The sequence below is a fragment of the Homo sapiens genome, chromosome 19, assembly GCF_000001405.40.
Source record: "Homo sapiens chromosome 19, GRCh38.p14 Primary Assembly".
In the NCBI taxonomy this organism is placed as follows: domain Eukaryota; kingdom Metazoa; phylum Chordata; class Mammalia; order Primates; family Hominidae; genus Homo; species Homo sapiens.
The window spans coordinates 48,324,149-48,344,181 of NC_000019.10; the positions used below are offsets into that span (position 1 = coordinate 48,324,149).

The window sequence follows — 20,033 nt, forward strand, 5'->3', positions numbered from 1 at the left end:
TCCAGCCTTGGCCTCCCAAAGTGCTGAGATTACAGGCATGAGCCACCACGTCCAGCCTATTGTATTTATTTTTCAAGTCACTTATCCTTATCTGAGATTTATCTTCATCATTGATGTTTTCTCTTGTCTGTCTTCCTCTACTAGAATACAAGCTCCATAATACCAGCAGGGCTCATGTCTGTTTTCATTATTAACTCCCAGATCAGAGTACATGTTCAATAAATGTTTGATGAAGGAAGGAACAGGTTAGGTGTGTGAGTGTGCCAGTATTACCTTATTCATTCAGCATAAGTATCAGAATTATTATTATCAGTATTAGTATTTTGTCAGCATTATTATACTCTCAACATAGACTAAGATACTGGAGCCCAGGTGGGTGAAATAATTGGCTCAAGGTCACTGAACCAGGAAATGATGGCGCTGGGATTCTTAGCTTCCGCTTCCTCCCCGCTTCCAGAGTTTCACAAGGTTTTTTTTTTTGTTTGTTTGTTTTTTGTTTTGTTTTGTTTTTTTTTTGCGACAGAATCTCACTTTGTCCCCCAGGTTGGAAGGCAGTGGTGCAAACTCAACTCACTGCAGCCTCCACCTCTCGCGTTCAAGCGATTCTCATGGCTCAGCCTCCCAAGTAGCTGGGATTACAGTCGCCCGCCACCACGCCCGGCTAATTTTTGTATTTTTGATAGAGACGGGTTTCCACCATGTTGGCCAGGCTGGTCTCGAACTCCTGACCTCAGATGATCTGCCCGTCTCGGCCTCCCAAAGTGCTGGGATTACAGGCGTGAGCCACAACGCCCTGCCGAGTTTCACAAATTTCATCTCCCATCCTCTGACCCCCCACCACGGGGCCAACTTCACCAGCCCAATCTCAAGTCCATGCCACAGAAATCTGGCCTCTTTTCCCAGACTCCTATCCAGCTCCAAGCTCCATCAGGGAAAGCAGACATCCGGCCCCAGGGCAAGACCTCAAAACTCAAGGGTCCTGAGAATCGGGCCCTCCCACCCCTGACGCTTGCCCCCCCCAAGAACCCCATTCCAAGAGTTTCTCATCTCAACCCTGGGAGGGAGCCCCAGATGATGTCTGTCTGGAGGGATTGGGTGGGGGCCCAAAGAAAGAGGAACCGGAGTGCCTGGGCCCTCCCACTGGCAGCCGACCTCAGCTGGGTGCGGTGAGGGTGGGTTTATAAAAGGGTCAGTATATATTGAGAGGAGGAGAGAAAGAGAAACGGGAGCAAGAGAGAAGGAGGCCCAGACAGTGAGGGCAGGAGGGAGAGAAGAGACGCAGAAGGAGAGCGAGCGAGAGAGAAAGGGTTCTGGATTGGAGGGGAGAGCAAGGGAGGGAGGAAGGCGGTGAGAGAGGCGGGGGCCTCGGGAGGGTGAAAGGAGGGAGGAGAAGGGCGGGGCACGGAGGCCCGAGCGAGGGACAAGACTCCGACTCCAGCTCTGACTTTTTTCGCGGCTCTCGGTAAGTTTCCAGTCCGTTATTCAGGGCTGGGACTTCTTAATTTACTTGGGAATGTAGCAGTTTGGGAAGGACACCCCCAGGCTGGGAGAGACGTCCCTGACTCTTGGAAATCCTTTTAATTTAATAAGTGATCTCTTAGCACTTGAGGTGGGGATATGGGAAGGGGTGGGGCCCGGCAAAGTTTTGGGGTCCCAGCAGAGCCCTCCACTGGAAAACTTCCTGCAGTTTTTCCCTCAGCGGTGTCCACTGTCCTCTGGGGTCCCTGAGATCAGGGCATTGCATGAGAACACCCCAAATCTGGGAGACCTCTAGGTCCCCTGTTCCTGGGCACCAAAGAGTCCTGGGAGGCTAACTCCTTCTTGGGCCTCTCTTCCCCCCAGCGCGAATCCTATCCATTTCCTCCAGAAGATGTCCAACAGTCACCAGTCTGGCAGCAGGGTGGGGTGAGGACCTCGTGGACATAGCCAGGGGCTGGGGTTTCCCTGGTGCTTAGAGATGGGGGGGGGTGGGGATGAGTCACCAGATGACTCACCAGGTCCCCCTCCTCCCCTCAACCCAGGAGAGGAGTGGTGTGAGTCAAGAATGCCTGTTGCTGGGGGCAGCTCCTCAATCCTGATGTCGGGGTGCAGGGTGGGGTCTCAACTTGAATTTTCACTATCTGGCCTGTATGTAACCCAGAGTCAGGGTTCTGGGGAGAGAGGAGCCACATTGCTAGTCCTCCTCATTCAAGGAACCCAAGAGTCCATCTTTGGCCCTCTCCACCCCTCCAGCCAATGGGGATCTCAGGAATCCAGGCCCCAGCGGTCTCCTCCCTGAGAGACCCAGGAGTCTGCACCCATGCCCTTCCTCCATCAGGAGACATCTCACCTGCCTTTATGCCAAATTTTTTTTTTTTTTTGAGACGGAGTCTTTCTCTGTCACCCAGGCTGGAGTGCAATGGCATGATCTTGGCTCATTGCAACCTTTGCCTCCTGGATTCCAGTGATTCTCCTGCCTCAGCCTCCCGAGTAGCTGGGATTACAGGTGTGCACCACCACACCCAGCTAATTTTGTATTTTTAGTAGAGATGGGGTTTCACCATGTTGGCCAGGCTGGTCTCGATCTCCTGACCTCAGGTGATCCTCCCGCCTCGGCCTCCCAAAGTGCTGGGGTTATAGGCGTGAGTGTGCCTGGCCTGTGCCAACCTCTTGAGACTCCGTCCCCTGCTCCCCCTCCCCAGGCTTCCACTGCAGCCATGTCACTCCTCTTGCTGGTGGTCTCAGCCCTTCACATCCTCATTCTTATACTGCTTTTCGTGGCCACTTTGGACAAGGTAAGCCTACTTGGAGCTCAGGGCCCTTCTGTTCCCCTTTGGAATCTTGCCACGCCCCTCCTCTAAAGGCATTCTGGCCCCACCCCCTTTACCTAGTATTTCTTTTTTATTTTATTTCATTTATTTTGAGACAAGGGTCTCACTCTGTCCCCCAGGCTGGAGTGCAGTGGTGCGATCTCGGCTCACTGCAACCTCGGCCTCCCGGGTTCAAGCGATTCTCCTGTCTCAGCCCCCCAAGTAGCTGGGATTAGAGGCACCTGCCACCAAGCCCGGCTAATTTTTTTATTTTGGTAGAGACGGGGTTTCACCATGTTGCCCAGGCTGGTCTCGAACCCCTGGCCTCAAGTGATCCACCTGCCTCGGCCTCCCACAGTGCTGGGATTACAGGCATGAACCACCAGGTTAACCCTTTTAGCTCTACCTCCGATGCCTCCTCCCTGTCCTGACCCTACCCCCTCTCATATTAAATCCTAACTCTCCCCAGTTCTGCCCCATCCCAGATACCCTGCCCTTTTCCCAGCCCTTCCCACAGTCTGCCTGACCCTATCCCCTCTCCTTTCCTAACCCTGCCCCTTGTTTCGTTCTCTGTCCATCCCAGTCCTGGTGGACTCTCCCTGGGAAAGAGTCCCTGAATCTCTGGTACGACTGCACGTGGAACAACGACACCAAAACATGGGCCTGCAGTAATGTCAGCGAGAATGGTGAGGGGTGAGGGCGGCGGGACTGGTCTTCAAAGGGGAAGGTAAACCCTTCGTGTCCTCATGGGACTGAGAATTGGGAACCCTCCCCCAACAAAGTTGGAGTGGGCGGGGTCCAGGCCTGAGTGGCTGAGTGCCTAGGGCTAATGCATGTCCCGCCTGTCTGGATGTACCTACCTCTTGTTTTTTTTGTTTTTGTTTTTTGAGACCGAGTTTTCCTCTGGTTGCCCAGGCTGGAGTGCAGTGGCGCAATCTTGGCTCACTGCAACCTCTCCCTCCGGGGTCCGAGCAATTCTCCTGCCTCAGCCTCCCGAGTAGCTGGGACTGCAGGTGTGTGCCACCACGCCTGGCTAATTTTGCATTTTTAGTAGAGACAGGTTTCACCATGTTGGCCAGGCTGGTCTTGAACTTCTGACTTCAGCTAATCCACCTGCTTCAGCCTCCCAAAGTGCTGAGATTACAGGCGTGAGCCACCACATCCAGCCAGTACCTCCTGTTCTGAAGAGGCCATATAGATAAAAGCATGCTATAGGTTTAAAGAATAGAGAGGGGAGGCCAAGGCGGGTAGATCACGAGGCCAGGAGTTCGAGACCAGCCTGGCCAAGATGATGAAACCCCGTCTCTACTAAAAATACAAAAAAATTAGCCGGGCATGGTGGCGTGCGCCTGTAGTCCCAGCTACTTGGGAGGCTGAGGCAGAAGAATCGCTTGAACCCAGGAGGTGGAGGTTGCAGTGAGCTGAGATTGCACTACTGCACTCCAGCCTGGGCAACAGAGCAAGATTCTGTCTCAAAAAAAAAAAAAAAAAAAAAGAATAGAGAAAAATCTCCCAAGATTCTGAGAAGACAAGAGTATTTTTCCAAAGCTCTAAGGAGATGGGGCTGGTGCTCTGAATGGATGCCTGGGACCATTTCATCCAAATTCCAAGGGGATGGGGCTGAAACCACTTAAGGTTCTAAAGGGGTGGGGCCAGGTGCATTGGAGTTCTAAAGGAATAGAGCTGCATCTATCTAAAGTTCTGTGTGAAAGATTTAATGCAAAACTAAGATTAAAGGAAGTGGTCTGCTCTCACCACTTCTATTCAACCTTTTACTGGAGTAGCCAATGCAAGAAGGCAAGAAAAAGAAATAAAGGGCATGGGAAATAAATTAGGAAAAAGTGTCTCTATTCCCAGTAAACATGTTGTTTATGTAGAAAATCCATTAAAATTCTGCAAAGCAGACAGACACAGTGGCTCACACCTGTAATCCCAGCACCTTGGGAGGCTGAGGAGGAAGGATCACTTAAGCCCAGGAGTTCAAGACCAGCCTGGACAACATAGGGAAACCCTGTCTCTACAAAAATTTAAAAATTACCCAGGTTGTGGTGGCTTGTGCCTGTGGTCCCAGCTACTCAGGAGGCAGGGGTGAGAGAATTTCTTGAGCCCTGAAGGACGAGGCTGCAGTGAGCCATGATTATACCACTGCACTCCAGCTTGGGCAACAGAGCAAGACCTGGTTTCAGAAAAAAAAGAAAAAGGAAATTGGCAAAGCAACTACTAGAACTGAGAAGGGAATATAGCAAGGTAACAGGGCTCAAGGTCAAAATAAGTGATACATCTAAGTATCTAGGCTTGTATGGGCCTAAACGGGAGCAGGGATGGGGCAGAGAAGGGTCACATGGTGAGCAAGCAGGTGAAGCTGGAACTCTGGACCCACGGTGATGTCCCCCTCTGTGTCCTCCTTACTGCAGGCTGGCTGAAGGCGGTGCAGGTCCTCATGGTGCTCTCCCTCATTCTCTGCTGTCTCTCCTTCATCCTGTTCATGTTCCAGCTCTACACCATGCGACGAGGAGGTCTCTTCTATGCCACCGGCCTCTGCCAGCTTTGCACCAGTGAGCACTGCCCCTCCCCAACCCTAATCCCCCAAGAATTGAGCAGAAGGGAGTGGGGTGTGTCAAGATGCTGGGGGCCCTGAGAATGGGCCTCTCGTAGAAAAAAACAACTTTCAACACCCCACGAGCCACAAGAGGTGCCTCCGTGGGCTACATCTCTGCCCCCAGGGATTGCTGGGACTTGTAGTTTTCAGTGGCTAATGATAGTTATGGCTTGTGCGTATGAGTCATCAGGGAACTCAGAGTTTCAGGGAGCCGGGGCTGGGGAAGGAGGTATAGGTAAATAGTTTTGGTCCCAGGGATCGGCCGTGACGTGGGGGGATAAACTAATTAGTACCTCAGTAGAGAGCTCTAAATCATAATAATAATGGTATTTATATCAGCCAACCGCTGTTTCTTGCGTGCCTATTGTGCATCAGATACTTCAAGAAGTTTTGCGTACTTTTTAATTTTTTGACTTAAGGTGCAAAGGGCTAACTTAATCACAGTCAGTTTGGGGAACATTATAGGTTCTTGCAAAGCTTCTCTCTTGGTTTATGAATTTACTACTGCATGTTTGGCTTATAGAAACACACTCAAAAATATTCCTTGGATGGATAGAGAGATATTATTGGACCTAGAGAGATTAAATCAGTTACCTAAGGCCGCGCTACAGTTGCACGGCGCTGGGCGGGGGGGAAAGAACCACAACTCCCAGCAGGCAGCGGCGCTGCCCACGGGCCCTCCGGCGCTTCTTTGCCCCCATGGGATATTGGGAAATGTAGTCTTGAGGGGGCACTGCATGACGTGTGGTTTTCATCTTCCGCAGGCGTGGCGGTGTTTACTGGCGCCTTGATCTATGCCATTCACGCCGAGGAGATCCTGGAGAAGCACCCGCGAGGGGGCAGCTTCGGATACTGCTTCGCCCTGGCCTGGGTGGCCTTCCCCCTCGCCCTGGTCAGCGGCATCATCTACATCCACCTACGGAAGCGGGAGTGAGCGCCCCGCCTCGCTCGGCTGCCCCCGCCCCTTCCCGGCCCCCCTCGCCGCGCGTCCTCCAAAAAATAAAACCTTAACCGCGGGCTCTGCCTTGATCTTCCTTCCTTCCGCCTCCAGGGACCCAGGCTGCGCACGCTTGACCTCTCCTGAACCTAACATGGTCCCCACCGCCAGCTGCTCAGCCCTCAGAATGCCCATCTCCCAGCCCCCAACCCCTTCCTCCCGAGGACACAGGAGCCGGGACCCCAGGCACCTTTTCCCTCCCACAGACCCAAGAGCCTGGGCCTTCCCCGCTCAAGGCCCAAGAGACCTCTGTGAGGCACCTGAATCTAGACCTTCAGACACTTCTGGGAAGAACCTGGATTCTGGGTCCCAGCAGACCCTGTTAGGATAGGAAGCCTGCAGTGACCAGTCCTGTCTCCTTGCTCAAGCTTCTGTCACTCTGTTGCTCTCTCTCTCTGAACCCCGGGCATAGTGTGTGTTTCTAGATTGTCGGACTCTTTTTTTCTTTCTGTCCAGGTTGGAGTGCAGTGGTACGATCTCAGCTCACTGCAACCTCCGCCTCCCGGGTTGAAGCGATTCTCCTGCCTCAGCCTCCCGAGTAGCTGGGACTACAGGCACGAGCCACCACACCCGGCTAGTTCTGGACTCTTTTTTCTTTCTACTAACTTTCCATTTGGGAAGACAGCTTTCTTTTTCCCTCTAGGAAACCAGTCTCCCTCTCTCTCTTTTTTTTTTTTTTTTTTTTTTTTGAGACGGAGTCTCGCTCTGTCACCTAGGCTGTAGTGCAGTGGTGCGATCTTCACTCACTGCAACCTCCGCCTCCCGGGTTCAAGCAATTCTCCTGCCTCAGCCTCCTGAGCAGCTGGGATTACAGGCGCCCACCACCACGTCCGGCTAATTTTTGTATCTTTAGTAGACACGGGGTTTCACCATGTTGGCCAGGCTGGTCTTGAACTCCTGACCTCAGGTGATCCACCCACCTCAGCCTCCCAAAGTGCTGGGATTACAGGCGGGAGCCACCGCGCCCAGCCCAGTCTCCCTCTCTAGGGACTGAACATTTGGGGTCCTAGAGAGGGAGACTTCCCCTGTCTCCCCAAAGGCTGCCTCTAGCCCATATGACACGTTAGCAAAAATTAGGAGGCACCCCTTCTTCTGGCTGACCCAGCCCCACACCAGGATACATGTAGGGGTATGGGCTGGGTCTTACAGCCACCCACCCGTGGCTGTGTTCCTTTGTGCAGTTAACAATCTGCACAGGCCGGGTGCGGTGGCTCACGCCTGTAATCCCAGTACTTTGGGAGGCTGAGGCAGGTGGATCACCTGAGGTCAGGAGTTCGAGACCAGCCTGGCCAACATGGTGAAACCCCGTCTCTACTGAAAATACAAAAAATTAGCCAGGCGCGGTGGCAGGCGCCTCCCAGCTACTCGGGAGGCTGAGGCAGGAGAATCACTTGAACCCAGGAGGCGGAGGTTGCAGTGAGCCAAGATCATGCCATTGCATTCCAGCCTGGGCAACAAGCGCGAAACTCCATCTCAAGAACAAAAAAAAATCTGCAAATCTGCACAATCGCACATGGCTACGCTATCTCCTCTGTTCATCAGGCCCTGGGACTCCTCTGGAATCAGATCCTTCTAAGATCCTCTTCTATGACTGTCTTTGTTTCACCGACCATGAACCCAGCCTCTTTTTAGGACTACAGCTTTCTCTGTCTGGGACCCCAAGACCTAGCTAGAGTCCCTCCCCTCTTTCCAGGATTCAAATGCTTTCCTTCCCTCCAACTCCTGCAGCCATCCCACTCATCTAGATTTTTAAAAATAATTTTTTAACCACTCCTACAGAGCAGGGTTACCCTAAAGGCAGTGCGTTAAGAGTAGCCTCATCCAGACTTATTAAACATGATTTATTACTTTGGGACAGGAGACGGGAGAAATTGATAGACCAATAAATATTGCACAGGCTGCTGGTGGTGGGGAGATCCAGACCGAGGTAGTTTCTGTAGAAAGGGTGAAAGACCTGGGCGAGGAAGGCACCTGAGGTTGCCGGGAGCCAGGTTGGGAGCGAGTCTTGGTGGCGAGGGTGGTTTCTGGTTCACCTACCTAGCACAAGGTCTCCAACTCCTTCAGCCTAGACACCCTGATCAGCAGCTGACCAGTTGGCCTGCCATTTAAGCAGCAGCAATTGATAGCAAGATCAGGTTTCCTTTAGAAATTCTTATTGGTTCCTTCCCTGCAGCGACAACCGGCTGCCCAAAGTTGATGGAACCCAGCAGCTGTCACTGGACGTTTGCCAGGAGGCAGGGCTAACGGCCTTGGTGCACATGATGGGCAGTTTGCCCGGAGCGGGCTGAAAAAGACAATGATATATAGTCTCGGGAGGGCGCAGCTTTAACTCTTCTACCTGGCGGTTTACAGAAGCCAGAGCTGAGCAGCTGTGATTGGCAGACACCCTCAGCTCCTCAGCCAAACCACACTTGGATGTTTATGGTGAGGGTGGGACTAAGAAATGGAACAGAAGCAGAGCTAAATCGCTTTGATTGGCTGTTCATCGAAGGGGCGGGGAAGACTTAACAACTGCTAGCTGCTTTGATTGGCTGCTTTGCTTAAGCACACAGTGCAGCAAAAATAATCACCTGTCAGTTATTGGAAGTTGGAGTGAAAAGTATAATAACCGTAATTGACAGCCTGTCGTGAAGGAGGCGGGGCTTAGTTCCTAGCCTGCTGACTGGGCAGGGAGGTAGGTTCTACTCAGGAGATGTTACTGCTGGGCGTGGCTTGCGGGGGCTCGGAAGTGATCGGAGCCACTGGGTCTAGTTTGGGGAAACCCGGGGGTGGGTACAATCCCATGCTGGGGGTCAGGGCCTGCAGATGCGCCAGGGCCCGAGTTCCGTTGAAGGTCACCTCACAGCCTGACTTGGCTAGGAGCCAGTTCTCCACCTCCGACCGGAGCCACCTGGAGGTCTCTGCAAGGGGAGAGGCAGGTGTTCTGAGGTCACACTGAGATCGGGGAAGATTCGAGGGAGCAGCAAGGAGGGGCGTAGGGCAAAGAACAGGAAGGGCCTGGGTTTGGGAGAAGCCTAGGAGTGATCTTGAGGCTTGGAGGGGAGCGGAACAAGGCCCAGGAGGGTCGAGAGGGCCAGAAGGCCCAGCTCTGGGGCTTTCGTCTGGGGACCAGTCAGGGGCTCTTGGGCAGGGAAGGTGGGGGCTCCTGTAGGCAAGGGGACCACCTGGAGCCCACACAGGGAGCGCGCAGGATCTCTTGTAGGGAGAGTGTCAGCTCAGGTAGAGGAAAGAATGACAGGAGGGGGCCGTGCCATGGAGCCAAGACTCCCAACCAGGCTGAGGTTAAGAAAGGGCTGTCACATCAGGCACCAAGATCGGAGTCTGGATTCGGAGGTCCTGTCTGCTGAGGGCCGGGGTCTCTTCGCAAACCCGTCAGGTTCACCCGTGGGAACTGGGGGTGGGGACGCATCTCGCTGGGGCGGGGCCTCGCGGGGGTGTGGCCCCTGGGGGCAGGGTCCCAGGGCCACGTCCTACCTTCGGGCGAGCCTTGAGTGCCCCCTGGCCGCCGGGCCAGGAAGCTGTGAGCCAGCAGCGCCTCCTTGGTGTGCTCGTCCTGCGCGCGCAGGGCCAGGGCGCTGAGCAGCTCCGAGTTGTTGGACGTACTGCGATAGTACAGCATGTGCGCCAGCTCCAACGCCTGCGCGCTGCGCCGCTGCCCGAACATCTGCAGGCGGGACAGCGCCCCGTGGGCTCAGTTCGGGGTGCGCCCCCACCCATACACAGCCCCCGGGGTCACCCCCGCTGGCACGGCCCACGCCGCTTACTCCCCTGAGGAGGCGGGGAGGTCCTACCCAGACCTCTTCAGTACGGGTCCCCAGAGCTCAGTCGAGGGATCTATTTGGGGATTTTTGGGGTCTGTCTTTTCTTTTTCTTTCTTTTTCTCTCTTTCTTTCTTTCTTTCTTTCTTTCTTTCTTTCTTTCTTTCTTTCTTTCTTTCTTTCTTTCTTTTTCTTTCTTTCTTTCGTTCTTTCTTTCTTTTCTTTCTTTCTCTTTCTTTCTTTTCTTTTCTTTCTTTCTTTTTCTTCCTTCCTTCCTTTCTTTCTTTTCTTTCCTTTTTTTTTTTTTTTCGACAGGGTCTCGCCCTGTAGCCCAGTCTGGAGTTCAGTGGCTATTCACAGGCAAACTCATAACGCACTGAAGCTTTGAACTCCCGGGCTCAAGCGATCCTCCCGCCTTGGCCTCCTAAGTAGCTGGGACTACAGGTGTGCGCCACCAAGCCCGATATTTTTTGTAGAGACGGGATTCTCCCTGTGTTGACCAGGCTGGTCTCAAACTCCCAGCCTGGAGTGATCCTCGCTCCTCAGCCTCCCATAGTGCTGGGGTTACAGGCGTGACCCAAGGCACCGGCTGGGGATCTGTATTTTTAACACACGTGCCCTCATTCCAGTGGCTCCAAGACCACCAGCCCCATCTGGCCTACAGTTTTCAGCAACCACTGCACTGGTTTGCTCATCTGAGCCATGTATTAATGGATTTACCCAAAGGTTTGCAGATGATAGGAGTTTTAGCTTTGAAAGATTTTGTTACAATACATCCTTATGTTTTAGAGACATAATAAAGTATTTCCAAATAAGTCTAGGTAGGATTTACTTCAAAATCATCCAATAGTAGGACAGTGGAGGTCTTCAGGGGAAATCTGATTAACTATTGCTAATTGTTGATGCTAGGTGCTGGCTAGTGGAGTTTATCATACTATCCTATTTCTGTGTTTGTTTGAACTTTTCTATAATGAAGGAAAAAATGGTTTAAAATATTAAACTGTAGGCCAAGTGCAGTGGCTCAGGCCTGTAATCCCAACGCTGAGAGGCCAAGGTGGGTGGATCACCTGAGCCCAGGAGTTCAAGACCAGCTTGGGCAACATGGCAAAAGCTTCATCTCTACAAAAAATTAAAATTAAAAAACAATAGCAGGCTGGGCTCAGTGGCTCACGCCTGTAATCCCAGCACTTTGGGAGGCCAAGGCAGGTGAATCACCTGAGGTTGGAAGTTCGAGACCAGCCTGACCAACATGGAGAAACCCGTCTCTACTAAAAATACAAAATTAGCCGGGCATGGTGGCTCATGCCTGTAATCCCAGCTACCCGGGAGGCTGAGGCAGGAGAATCGCTTGAACCTGGGAAGCAGAGGTTGCAGTGAGCCGAGATCATGCCATTGCACTCCAGCCTGGGCAACAAGAATGAAACTCTGCCTCAAAAAATAATAATAATAATAATTAGCTGGGTGTGATGGTGAGCACCTGTAGTCCCAGCTACTCATGAGGCTGAAGCAGGAGAATCACCTGAACCCAGGAGGCTGAGGCTACAGTGAGCCATGATCATACCACTGCACTCCAGGCTGGGCAACAGAGTGAGACCCTGTCTCAAAAAAAGAAAAAAGTTAAATTGTAAAGAGAAGAGGAGAGGGGAAGGATGTTGGGGGGAAGAACAGGTCTGGGCCCAGCTGTCTACTGGCTGCCCACTTCCCCACCGTTAGTCTCTTTGCTTGGACCCCTCTTCTCATCCTTGATATTGGTAAGGAGAAATGAGGGCATCAGTGCCCTCTGGGCTCCCACTGAAAAACTGTGCCCAGGCCAGATGCAGTGGCTGACACCTGTAATCCCTGCACTTTGGGAGGATGAGGAGGGCAGATCACTTGAGGTTAGGAGTTCGAGACCAACCTGGGCAACATGGTGAAACCCCATCTCTACTAAAAATACAAAAATTAGACCTGGCACGGTGGTTCATGCCTGTAATTCTAGCACTTTGGGAGGCCGAGACGGGCAGATCACTTGAGGTCAGGAGTTCGAAACCAGCCTGGCCAACATGGTGAAACCTTGTCTCTACTAAAAATACAAAAAAAAAAAATTAGTCAGGTATGGTGACAGGCACCTGTAATCCCAGCTACTTGGGAGGCTGAGGCAGGAGAGTCGCTTGAGCCCGGGAAGTGGAGGTTGCAGTGAGCCAGGATTGCGCCACTGCACTCCAGCCTGGGCAACAGAGTGGGACTCTGTCTCAAAAAAATAAATAAATAAAAATACAAAAATTAGTCAGGTGTGTGTCATGTGCCTGTAATTCCCGCTACTCAGGAGGCTGAGGCAAGAGAATCTCTTGAACCCGGGAGGCAGAAGTTGCAGTGAGCCGAGATCGTGCCACGGCACTTTAGCCTGGGCGACAGAGTGACACTGTGTCTCAAAAAAAAAAGCGGTCGGGCGCAGTAGCTCACGCCTGTAATCCCAGCACTTTGGGAGGCCGAGGCGGGTGGATCACGAGGTCAGAAGATCAAGACCACGAGGTCAGGAGATCGAGACCATCCTGGCTAACACGGTGAAACCCTGTATCTACTAAAAATACAAAAACAAAATTAGCTGGGCGTGGTGGTGGGTGCCTGTAGTCCCAGCTACTCAGGAGGCTGAGGCAGGAGAATGGCGTGAACCTGGGAGGCGGAGCTTGCAGTGAGCTGAGATCGCACCACTGCACTCCAGCCTGGGTGACAGAGCAAGACTCAGTCTCACAAAAAAAAAAAAGAAAAAAGAAAAAAAAGAAAACCTGTACCTGTACCCAGATTCCTCCATTCAGCCACAAAATGAGCTCAGGGCCACTGGACCCTGTAGCTGGCAGGCCTGGCTGCCTGACCCACTAAACCCTTACCGGCTGCCCCTGGTAAGACCTAAGTCCTCAGTCAGCACTGTCTGTACAACAATGCCAATGCCAGGGAGGGTTCAGGAAGTCAATACACGGTTAATAAAACATTGGGACAGCCGGGCGCGGTGGCTCACGCCTGTAATCCCAGCACTTTGGGAGGCCGAGGCGGGCGGATCACGAGGTCAGGAGTTCAAGACCAGCCTGGCCAACATAGTGAAACCCCGTCTCTACTAAAAATACAAAAAATTAGCCAGGCATGGTGGCGGCGCCTGTAATCCCAGCCACTTGGGAGGCTGAGGCAGGAGAATGGCTTGAACCCAGGAGGCAGAGGTTGCAGTGAGCTGAGGTTGCACCACTGCACTCCAGCCTGGGGGACAGAGCGAGACTCCATCTCAAAAAAAGAAGAAAAAAAAAAAACATTGGGACAAAGCCTGGCCCCTCAGAAACACTTACCAAACATCAGCTACTATGGAACAGTCACCCACACCCTGTGCTGGGTGCCCATAGGGTGTTCCCATCTCACACCGAGGCCTGAGGTGAAATGCCTCTCAAGTCAGCGCACCCCAGAAAATCGCTGAAATGGCCTGCAAGGTACCAATGACACGCTTGCATGTGGACTGTACCCTCTTCTCACCAGGCCAGCACAGTCAGTTTAGGTGCCTGCATTGGAACGAATCGCCATTTCTTCGGTTGAGGGCAAGATGCAGGAATAGCATGCGTTAGGGACCGTGTGGTATGAAAAACACATTGGGTTTGTGTCAGTATCTGCCAAGCCGATGGAGCTGAATTCTAGTTAAAGGAGCAGGTCACTCTGTGGCACACAGATGAAGCCAGAGTCTCCCTGGAGAGGGGTCCCCCTGCCACCCGGAGGGTCCCTTCAGCACTACCGCTGCCCACAAGGAATACAGCACTCGCTCCTCCTACCCTGGGGTCTATGTCTTGGGCAGCCCCTCCACCTACTCAGTCACAGGCCAGGCCCCTGGCACCATCCTTGCTCCCCCTTCGCCAACCTGTCAGTCCCAACCCCATTCTGCAGTCCCCTGACTCTCTCTGCCCGTCTCCTCCTCTGCAGCTCCCCAGCTCATCCTTGGCTCAGACTTTATCCCCGCCTGCATCACTCCAGCCTCCTCCCTGGCCTCAGTCTCCCCGTCCAGTTTGTCTGCACATAGGTTCAGAGCTGCCCCTGCCCCTCCCCTGCTCATGGTCCTCCCATGGCTCCCCAGTGCTCTCAGAGTCCAAGCTCCGTGGCCCGGCACACGAGGCCCTCCCTGTCACCTCCTGCTCCTCCCCTGTGAATGCAGCGCATGCTGAAAAAGCCGGTTTACCCTGAACAGGTCCTGCTCTCTCAGGCCTCCAGGCCCAGGCACAAGCCAAACCACCCCTGGTGTGTTCTTGGAAAATGTTCACTGCCTCATCCTCAAGGCTCAGGATGGACATCACCTCTCGCGGACGAGCAGATGCAGCCTCGGGCTCCTGCTGTGCCAGCTGCCGCCTCCATTACAGACCGACTGCCTGTGTCCAGGGACCCCACACCTCTCCCTCCAGGGCAGGATCGGGCTGCTGCATCTCAGGGGCACCAGTTCAACATCCCTCCCCAGGCTGCCCCATGGGCCTGCTTGGTGCTGGGCTAAGGGGCTTCACAGTAGAGCCCAGGGTATGGAGGAACCCACAGGGGCACCACCCCAGCCTGGGACATCCGGGAAGGCTTCCCAGAGCAGGCAGCCTCTGAGCTGAGGGTGAGGGGTGAGCAGGGGTTGGCCAGCCCAACAAGAGGAAAGGGCATTTCAGTCCAAGGGAACAGCACAGGCAAAGGCAGAGAACGAGGGATGGCAGGGTGGGGGCGCCGCAAGCATGCAGGAGGAGCTGAGGCGCAGATTCGAGGGGAAGGATTGTGTCCAGTGAGGCTGGGAAGCAGGGTCCCTGGTGCCAGGCTGTGCCCAGAGGAGGGGCAGGGCAGGACTGGGTAGAATGGGGAATGGGCTGGAAGGGACCAACTGGAGGCTGGGAAGAGGGCCTGAGCAGGGGGCACAGAGGTGGGACAGGAAGGGTGGGCTGGGGGTCTAGCCAGTGACTGGCGGGATGACAGGTCATCCTTAGATGCGGAGCCCAGAAGAGAAGATGTCAGGGGAGACGCTGTGCTTGGCCTACAGTGAGAGTGAGGGCCCCAGCCGGGAGGCTGAGCCTGGAGCTTCTTGGTTGATCTGATCATGGACAGTAGAGAGCTCCTGTGGAAACCACAGAAGCAGAGCAGCCCTGTGTCTTGGAAGAAAGAGGGCCCCATACTCCGCATCCCGCACCTTGCTCCCCGCACCCCTTATCCCGCAGTGGGGCTCTGAGTGCCTGTTCCAAGGTGAGATGGGGAACTTGAGAGGAGCAGGAGGGTTGAGGCAGCTGGACTCTGGGCTCATGGGGACACGCTGCACATGGGCTTGGGTGTGTCCAGGGAACAGGAGAAGCCAGATTAGGGGACTAGGGGAGGGGCTTGCAATGAAGACAGAGATCTGGGAGCAACTGAAGCGCAGGAGGGGACCAGCCAGGAGGGAGTCTGGGAGGGCCAACTGTTTTTTTGTTTCTTTGTTTGTTTGTTTGTGTTGGGATGGGAGTCTCGCTCTGTCACCGAGGCTGGAATGCAGTGGCGCAATCTCAGCTCACTGCAACCTCCACCTCCCGAGTTCAAGTGATTCTCCTGCCTCAGCCTCTCAAGTAGCTGGGATTTCAGGCATGCGCCACCACGCCTGGCTAATTTTTGTATTTTTAGTAGAGATGGGGTTTCACTACGTTGGCCAGGCTGGTCTCGAACTCCTGACTGCATGTGATCTGCCTGCCTCAGCCTCCCAAAGTGCTGGGATTACAGGTATGAGCCACTGCACCCAGCCAAGGGCCCACATGTAAAGGCTGGGCCTCACCCCAAGGCGTGGGGAAATACCTCATGAATTCATGAATACACTAAATTAACTTGTCAACTGGGATTTTTTTTTTTTTTTTTTTTTTTGAGATGGAGTCTCACTGTGTCGCCCAGGCTGGAATACAGTGATGCCATCTCAGCTCACTGCAACCTCTGCCCCCTGGGTTCAAGTGATTCTCCTGCCTCAGCCTCCAGAGTAGCTGGGATTACAGGCATGTGCCACCATGCCCAGCTAATTTTTGTGTTTTTAGTAGAGATGGGGTTTCACCATCTTGGCCAGGCTGGTCTTGAACTCCTGACCTCGTGATCCACCCGCCTCGGCCTCCCAAAGTGCTGGGATTATAGGTGTGAGCCATTGCGCCTGGCTGGGCTTTTTTATTGTTATTTTTTGATTTGGGGTTTCACTATGTTGCCCAGGCTGGACTCCCAACTCCTGGGCTCAAGCGATCCTCCCACCTTGGCCTCCTGAGTAGCTAGGACTACAGGCATGTGCCACCATGCCTGGTGTGAATTGGGTTTGAAATAGGGTCTTTCAGAGCCTGACAGGCTCCATAGCACCCCAAGGGCCAGCAAGGGGTGAGGCAATAGTCACCGTGGGCTGGGACTCAGTGTCTTCTCCCCAGAGGCACCGGGCCTCCCTGCCTCTCATCTCGCCCCTCCCCTCTGCCCTCCATGGTTGCAGCTTACAGCCATTCCACAGCTCCCTGCGGCTCTGAGGATAAGGCCTTGGGTACCACTCTGGGCATTCAAGGCCCTCACCACCCTCTGGGACTTCCCCTCTCTACCCTGCTCACTGGATCCAGCCCCATGAGATACGCCAGGCTGAGCTCGTGGGCTCTTTCTCCACCAGGCTCAATTCCTGTCTTCCAGAGCTTTCCTCAGATCCTACCTGAGCCCTGGTCCCAAGCAGAAATTGCTCCCTCCCCAGCCCCTCTGTTGGCCCAAGTATGCCAGCACCCTCTCAGGCGGCACAGCCTGGCTATTATCTGCGGGATTTATTACCAGCCTTCCTAAGAGCCTGTCAGCATGGCTGAAAACAGCTTGAAAACCAATGAGCCAGCAGGTGAATGATCGCGTACGACAGATGCTTCACACCAGTCTACACTCCTGGGGCCGGTGCCAACCCTGGGAAGAATCAGTAAAAGGCAGCTCCCCTCTGGGCTGACTCAGCCTCGAGACAGGACACGCATTTTGGCAAGCGGAGCACAAGTTGGGTGTCAGCCTCCACCTGGCCCCTGGGCCACGAATCCTTGGATGGTGAACAACCTGTGCAACTGTTCAAGGCAGCCCGGCACTCACATGTAGCAGAATCAAAAGGGAGCTTGTTAAAAATATAGTTCCCTGGGCCCCAGTCCCAGAGTTTCCAATTCAGTCCACTAGGACTGGAGCCCAGGAGGCTGCATTTGTCAGCCAGCTCCCCCAGTGATAATGATACCCAGTCAGGATGGGGACTTGGAACAAACAGCCCAATTAGTAATGATAATAATCATCATCCTGGTAATAGCTAACTCTCACATAGCACCTCCTGTGCCATGTGGGAGGCTCTATTCTCAGCACTGTGCATGTTAATTCATTTAATCCCCACAACACCTCTATGAGTTAGGTCCCACCATCATCCCTACTTTGCAGATTTTGAAGCTGAGACACAGAGAGGTTAAGCAACTTGTTCAAGATCACACAGCGAGAAGAGAGTAGAGTCAGATTCAAATCCAGGAAGTCTGCTTCCAGAACACACCCCCTTCACCGCATCACTAAAGCGCCCCTAAAGCCGGCACTCAGTGAGCGGCTGTCAACCCTTATGTAGCCCCTACCACGAGCCGAGCACTGCCCAGTGCTTCTCACAGACTCACTCATTTCATGCTCACAACCCTACAAGGCAGATCTCGCTATCATCCCCATTTTCCAGATGAGAAAACTGAGGCTCAGAGAGATTAAGAAACCCCCCTAAGGGGTGTTGAGTAAATGAAGTAGGGAAGGGAAGGGGAAGGGAGGGGAGCGGAGGAGAGGGCAAGAAGGGAGGGAAGGGAGAAAGGGAAGGGGGGAGGAAGGAGGTGGGGAGAGGGAGGGAAGGGAAGGAAAAGAGGAACAGGAAGGAAGGGAGGGAGGGAGGGGAAGGGGAGGGGAGGGGAGAGGAGGGGAGGCGGAAGGAAGGGGAAGAAGGAAGGGAAGGGAAAGGGGAAAAGGAAGGGGAGGAGAGAGAGGGAGAAAGGAAAGAAGGGAGGAAGGGAGGGAGGAAGGAAGGAAGGACAGGGAGGGAAGGGAAGGGAAAGAAAAGAGGAAGAATGGGAAGGAAGGAAGGACAGGGAGGGAAGGGAAGGGAAAGAAAAGAGGAAGAATGGGAAGGAAGGAAGGGAGGGAGGGAGGGAGGAGAGCATGACGCAGGAACAATGCATGAAACAGAGACAACTACAGGGGGCCTGACCTGGTCCCCACAGCGCAGGGCCGCAGGAGGCGTGGCAGGCGCATGCTCACCTTGGAGGCCCGCAGGCCCATGAAGATGGCGAAGAGCAGCAGCAGCAGGGAGGTGGCCACCTTGAGGTCGGTTAGCACCACCATGCCCACGTTGACGAAGATCGCCACGCCGGAGACTACCAGCATGAGGTTGAGCAGGGCGCGCTGCAGGGTGGGCGTGCGCACCTTCAGCTCCGGCAGCAGCTGCTCCAGGCCTTCCAGCGGCGTGTCCTTGAAACTCTTCAGTACCAGGTGTCCCCGTTTGGTCCGGGCTGCCAGGACCACCCGCTTAAAGTATCTCCTGAGGGACAGAGACAGAGGCAGGAGCAGGATCGGGACTGCACTGCCCGGGGAGCCCCCTCCAATCCTAGGACGCTCACTCTGGCTCTACAGTCGCACAACCATCTTAAAAGCGACTCAGTAATCATGGGGAAGAAACCAGGGATCAGCTGTGTCCAACCACAGGGGATCGGTTCAATCGCGCCATCGATCCCTGGTATTGGACGTGCAGATTGTTTGTTGGAATCCTGGCCGTGCCGCATCTTCAGAATGTGGACCTCCCTCTCCGAGCCTCAGTTTTCCTTATTGGAAAATGGGGAGAACTGTCCCCATCCTTTCTCTTCCCCTGGGAATCAAGTGTAGTACTCACTTTCCCTTGAGAAGAAAAGACAGCATTTGGATGAGTCACGCCTCCCATTTCTCAACTTCCCGCCTGGGGCCCAGACACCCAAACCAGACACTGACCTGTCAGTCCCCTCTTGACTCTAACCTTGCTCCCTCTTGCTGCAGCTGGGGAACAAGGGCCGCCTCACCTCTCCGCAGGGGGCAGCTTGGTGAAGAAGCCACGCCTGGAGCCCACGCTGGACTTCAGGGGCATCTGCCCGACTCGCTGGCCCAGGGCCCAGAAGTGAATGTAGACATACTGATCCAAATTTACTGTCACCTGCCGGGGGGATGAAGGAAGCAGTGGCGGGTGAACATGGGCAGGAGTGTTGAGGGCAGGATACCAGAATCAGATGTCCTGCCCCTAAATAATTCCCCCGTTTCCCACTTATCCCCATTCACCATCTAGGCAGGGCTGTCACATATGGTTGTCCATGTCGTATACTGCACAAGGGCTCATGATCTAACACAGTGCCATTCACGTAGAAGTCATCTTTACCATATTTCCTAGAATCTAAGGTGCCACTGACTCTACCTGATTATTTTATGAAGCAACTAAAAACAAAATACGTTGCCAATTAAATGATGTCACACCACCACCTGTAAATTACATCCCAATTTCAGAGATGACAAAACATGACTTTGGAAAAACTGCAGTTTAAAATCACTAAAATGTGGAATTTGGGGAGATTTTAGTATTTTTTATTTCTGTTTTTATTTTTATTTCTATTTTGAGATATTGTCTCACTCTGTCACCCAGGCGGGAGTGCAGTGGCACAATCTCAGCTCACTGCAGCCTCCACCTCCTGGGTCCAAGTGATTCTCGTGCCTCAGCCTCCCAAGTAGCTGGGACTACAGGCACCCGCCACCATGCCTGGCTAATTTTTGTATTTTTAGTAGAGATGGGGTTTCACCATGTTGGCCAGGCTAGTCTCAAACTCCTGACCTCAAATGATCTGCCTACCTCAGCCTCCCAAAGCACTGGGATTATAGGTGTGAGCCACTGCACC

General features: G+C 53.7%; 2 protein-coding genes across 8 annotated transcripts in view, besides 13 other annotated features; one reads left to right on the forward strand and one right to left on the reverse strand.

Moving 5' to 3' along the window:
- Positions 419 to 650: a silencer, noted in NCBI's record as "fragment chr19:48827824-48828055 (GRCh37/hg19 assembly coordinates)". NCBI's record gives its function as "represses an EF-1alpha promoter that drives an FKBP-Casp9 reporter gene in an ReSE screen in K562 erythroleukemia cells {active_cell/tissue: K562}" and the evidence as "EXISTENCE:reporter gene assay evidence [ECO:0000049][PMID:32094911]".
- Positions 1,228 to 1,277: an enhancer, noted in NCBI's record as "active region_14882". NCBI's record gives its function as "activates an Ori minimal core promoter by ATAC-STARR-seq in GM12878 lymphoblastoid cells {active_cell/tissue: GM12878}" and the evidence as "EXISTENCE:reporter gene assay evidence [ECO:0000049][PMID:35858748]".
- On the forward strand, positions 1,404 to 6,405 carry EMP3 (epithelial membrane protein 3 (MAM blood group)). 3 transcript variants are annotated; one of them, XM_011526605.4, is made up of 6 exons: positions 1,404 to 1,462; positions 1,843 to 1,905; positions 2,682 to 2,774; positions 3,373 to 3,475; positions 5,204 to 5,344; positions 6,153 to 6,405. In XM_011526605.4, the coding sequence occupies exons 3-6, from the start codon at positions 2,697 to 2,699 to the stop codon at positions 6,320 to 6,322; spliced, it is 492 nt and encodes a 163-aa protein (XP_011524907.1). In that variant the 5' UTR covers positions 1,404 to 1,462; positions 1,843 to 1,905; positions 2,682 to 2,696; the 3' UTR covers positions 6,323 to 6,405. The 3 variants fall into 3 exon arrangements, with proteins under 3 accessions (XP_011524907.1, NP_001416.1, NP_001300834.1); NM_001425.3 differs by lacking the exon at positions 1,843 to 1,905; NM_001313905.1 differs by lacking the exon at positions 1,404 to 1,462 and having other exon boundaries at positions 1,851 to 1,905.
- Positions 1,878 to 1,927: an enhancer, noted in NCBI's record as "active region_14883". NCBI's record gives its function as "activates an Ori minimal core promoter by ATAC-STARR-seq in GM12878 lymphoblastoid cells {active_cell/tissue: GM12878}" and the evidence as "EXISTENCE:reporter gene assay evidence [ECO:0000049][PMID:35858748]".
- Positions 2,218 to 2,287: an enhancer, noted in NCBI's record as "active region_14884". NCBI's record gives its function as "activates an Ori minimal core promoter by ATAC-STARR-seq in GM12878 lymphoblastoid cells {active_cell/tissue: GM12878}" and the evidence as "EXISTENCE:reporter gene assay evidence [ECO:0000049][PMID:35858748]".
- Positions 5,254 to 5,403: an enhancer, noted in NCBI's record as "active region_14885". NCBI's record gives its function as "activates an Ori minimal core promoter by ATAC-STARR-seq in GM12878 lymphoblastoid cells {active_cell/tissue: GM12878}" and the evidence as "EXISTENCE:reporter gene assay evidence [ECO:0000049][PMID:35858748]".
- A 1,802-nt stretch (positions 6,406 to 8,207) lies between the features above and the next one.
- TMEM143 (transmembrane protein 143) overlaps positions 8,208 to 20,033 on the reverse strand; it is a 31,585-nt gene continuing 19,759 nt past the window's right edge. For all 5 annotated transcript variants that reach the window (NR_130317.2, NM_001303540.2, NM_001303538.2 and 2 more), the window contains 4 exons: positions 19,173 to 19,303; positions 18,382 to 18,661; positions 9,860 to 10,049; positions 8,208 to 9,285 (listed from right to left, as the gene is read on the reverse strand). Coding sequence is in view for 4 of the 5 variants with exons in the window: in NM_001303540.2 (NP_001290469.1) it covers positions 9,071 to 9,285; positions 9,860 to 10,049; positions 18,382 to 18,661; positions 19,173 to 19,303 (816 nt within the window). In the remaining variant the exon portion in view is untranslated. The remainder of the gene's footprint in view (positions 9,286 to 9,859; positions 10,050 to 18,381; positions 18,662 to 19,172; positions 19,304 to 20,033) is intronic.
- Positions 9,110 to 9,845: an enhancer, noted in NCBI's record as "H3K4me1 hESC enhancer chr19:48836515-48837250 (GRCh37/hg19 assembly coordinates)". NCBI's record gives its function as "activates a minimal SCP1, AML or CMV promoter by ChIP-STARR-seq in naive H9 embryonic stem cells {active_cell/tissue: H9 hESC(naive)}" and the evidence as "EXISTENCE:reporter gene assay evidence [ECO:0000049][PMID:30033119]".
- Positions 9,110 to 10,245: a biological region, named in NCBI's record as "H3K4me1 hESC enhancer GRCh37_chr19:48836515-48837250".
- Positions 9,236 to 9,325: an enhancer, noted in NCBI's record as "active region_14886". NCBI's record gives its function as "activates an Ori minimal core promoter by ATAC-STARR-seq in GM12878 lymphoblastoid cells {active_cell/tissue: GM12878}" and the evidence as "EXISTENCE:reporter gene assay evidence [ECO:0000049][PMID:35858748]".
- Positions 9,336 to 9,385: an enhancer, noted in NCBI's record as "active region_14887". NCBI's record gives its function as "activates an Ori minimal core promoter by ATAC-STARR-seq in GM12878 lymphoblastoid cells {active_cell/tissue: GM12878}" and the evidence as "EXISTENCE:reporter gene assay evidence [ECO:0000049][PMID:35858748]".
- Positions 9,726 to 10,245: a silencer, noted in NCBI's record as "silent region_10877". NCBI's record gives its function as "represses an Ori minimal core promoter by ATAC-STARR-seq in GM12878 lymphoblastoid cells {active_cell/tissue: GM12878}" and the evidence as "EXISTENCE:reporter gene assay evidence [ECO:0000049][PMID:35858748]".
- Positions 14,923 to 15,860: an enhancer, noted in NCBI's record as "H3K4me1 hESC enhancer chr19:48842328-48843265 (GRCh37/hg19 assembly coordinates)". NCBI's record gives its function as "activates a minimal SCP1, AML or CMV promoter by ChIP-STARR-seq in naive and primed H9 embryonic stem cells {active_cell/tissue: H9 hESC(naive and primed)}" and the evidence as "EXISTENCE:reporter gene assay evidence [ECO:0000049][PMID:30033119]".
- Positions 18,009 to 18,509: an enhancer, noted in NCBI's record as "H3K4me1 hESC enhancer chr19:48845414-48845914 (GRCh37/hg19 assembly coordinates)". NCBI's record gives its function as "activates a minimal SCP1, AML or CMV promoter by ChIP-STARR-seq in naive H9 embryonic stem cells {active_cell/tissue: H9 hESC(naive)}" and the evidence as "EXISTENCE:reporter gene assay evidence [ECO:0000049][PMID:30033119]".
- Positions 18,510 to 19,010: an enhancer, noted in NCBI's record as "H3K4me1 hESC enhancer chr19:48845915-48846415 (GRCh37/hg19 assembly coordinates)". NCBI's record gives its function as "activates a minimal SCP1, AML or CMV promoter by ChIP-STARR-seq in naive H9 embryonic stem cells {active_cell/tissue: H9 hESC(naive)}" and the evidence as "EXISTENCE:reporter gene assay evidence [ECO:0000049][PMID:30033119]".

Bases quoted from the DNA above. Each gene is read 5' to 3' on its own strand.
- EMP3 (XM_011526605.4), top strand. From the start codon at position 2,697: ATGTCACTCCTCTTGCTGGTGGTCTCAGCCCTTCACATCCTCATTCTT. The intron at 2,775-3,372 runs GTAAGCCTACTT...TGTCCATCCCAG, and splicing joins TCGTGGCCACTTTGGACAAG to TCCTGGTGGACTCTCCCTGG. The intron at 3,476-5,203 runs GTGAGGGGTGAG...TCCTTACTGCAG, and splicing joins CAGTAATGTCAGCGAGAATG to GCTGGCTGAAGGCGGTGCAG.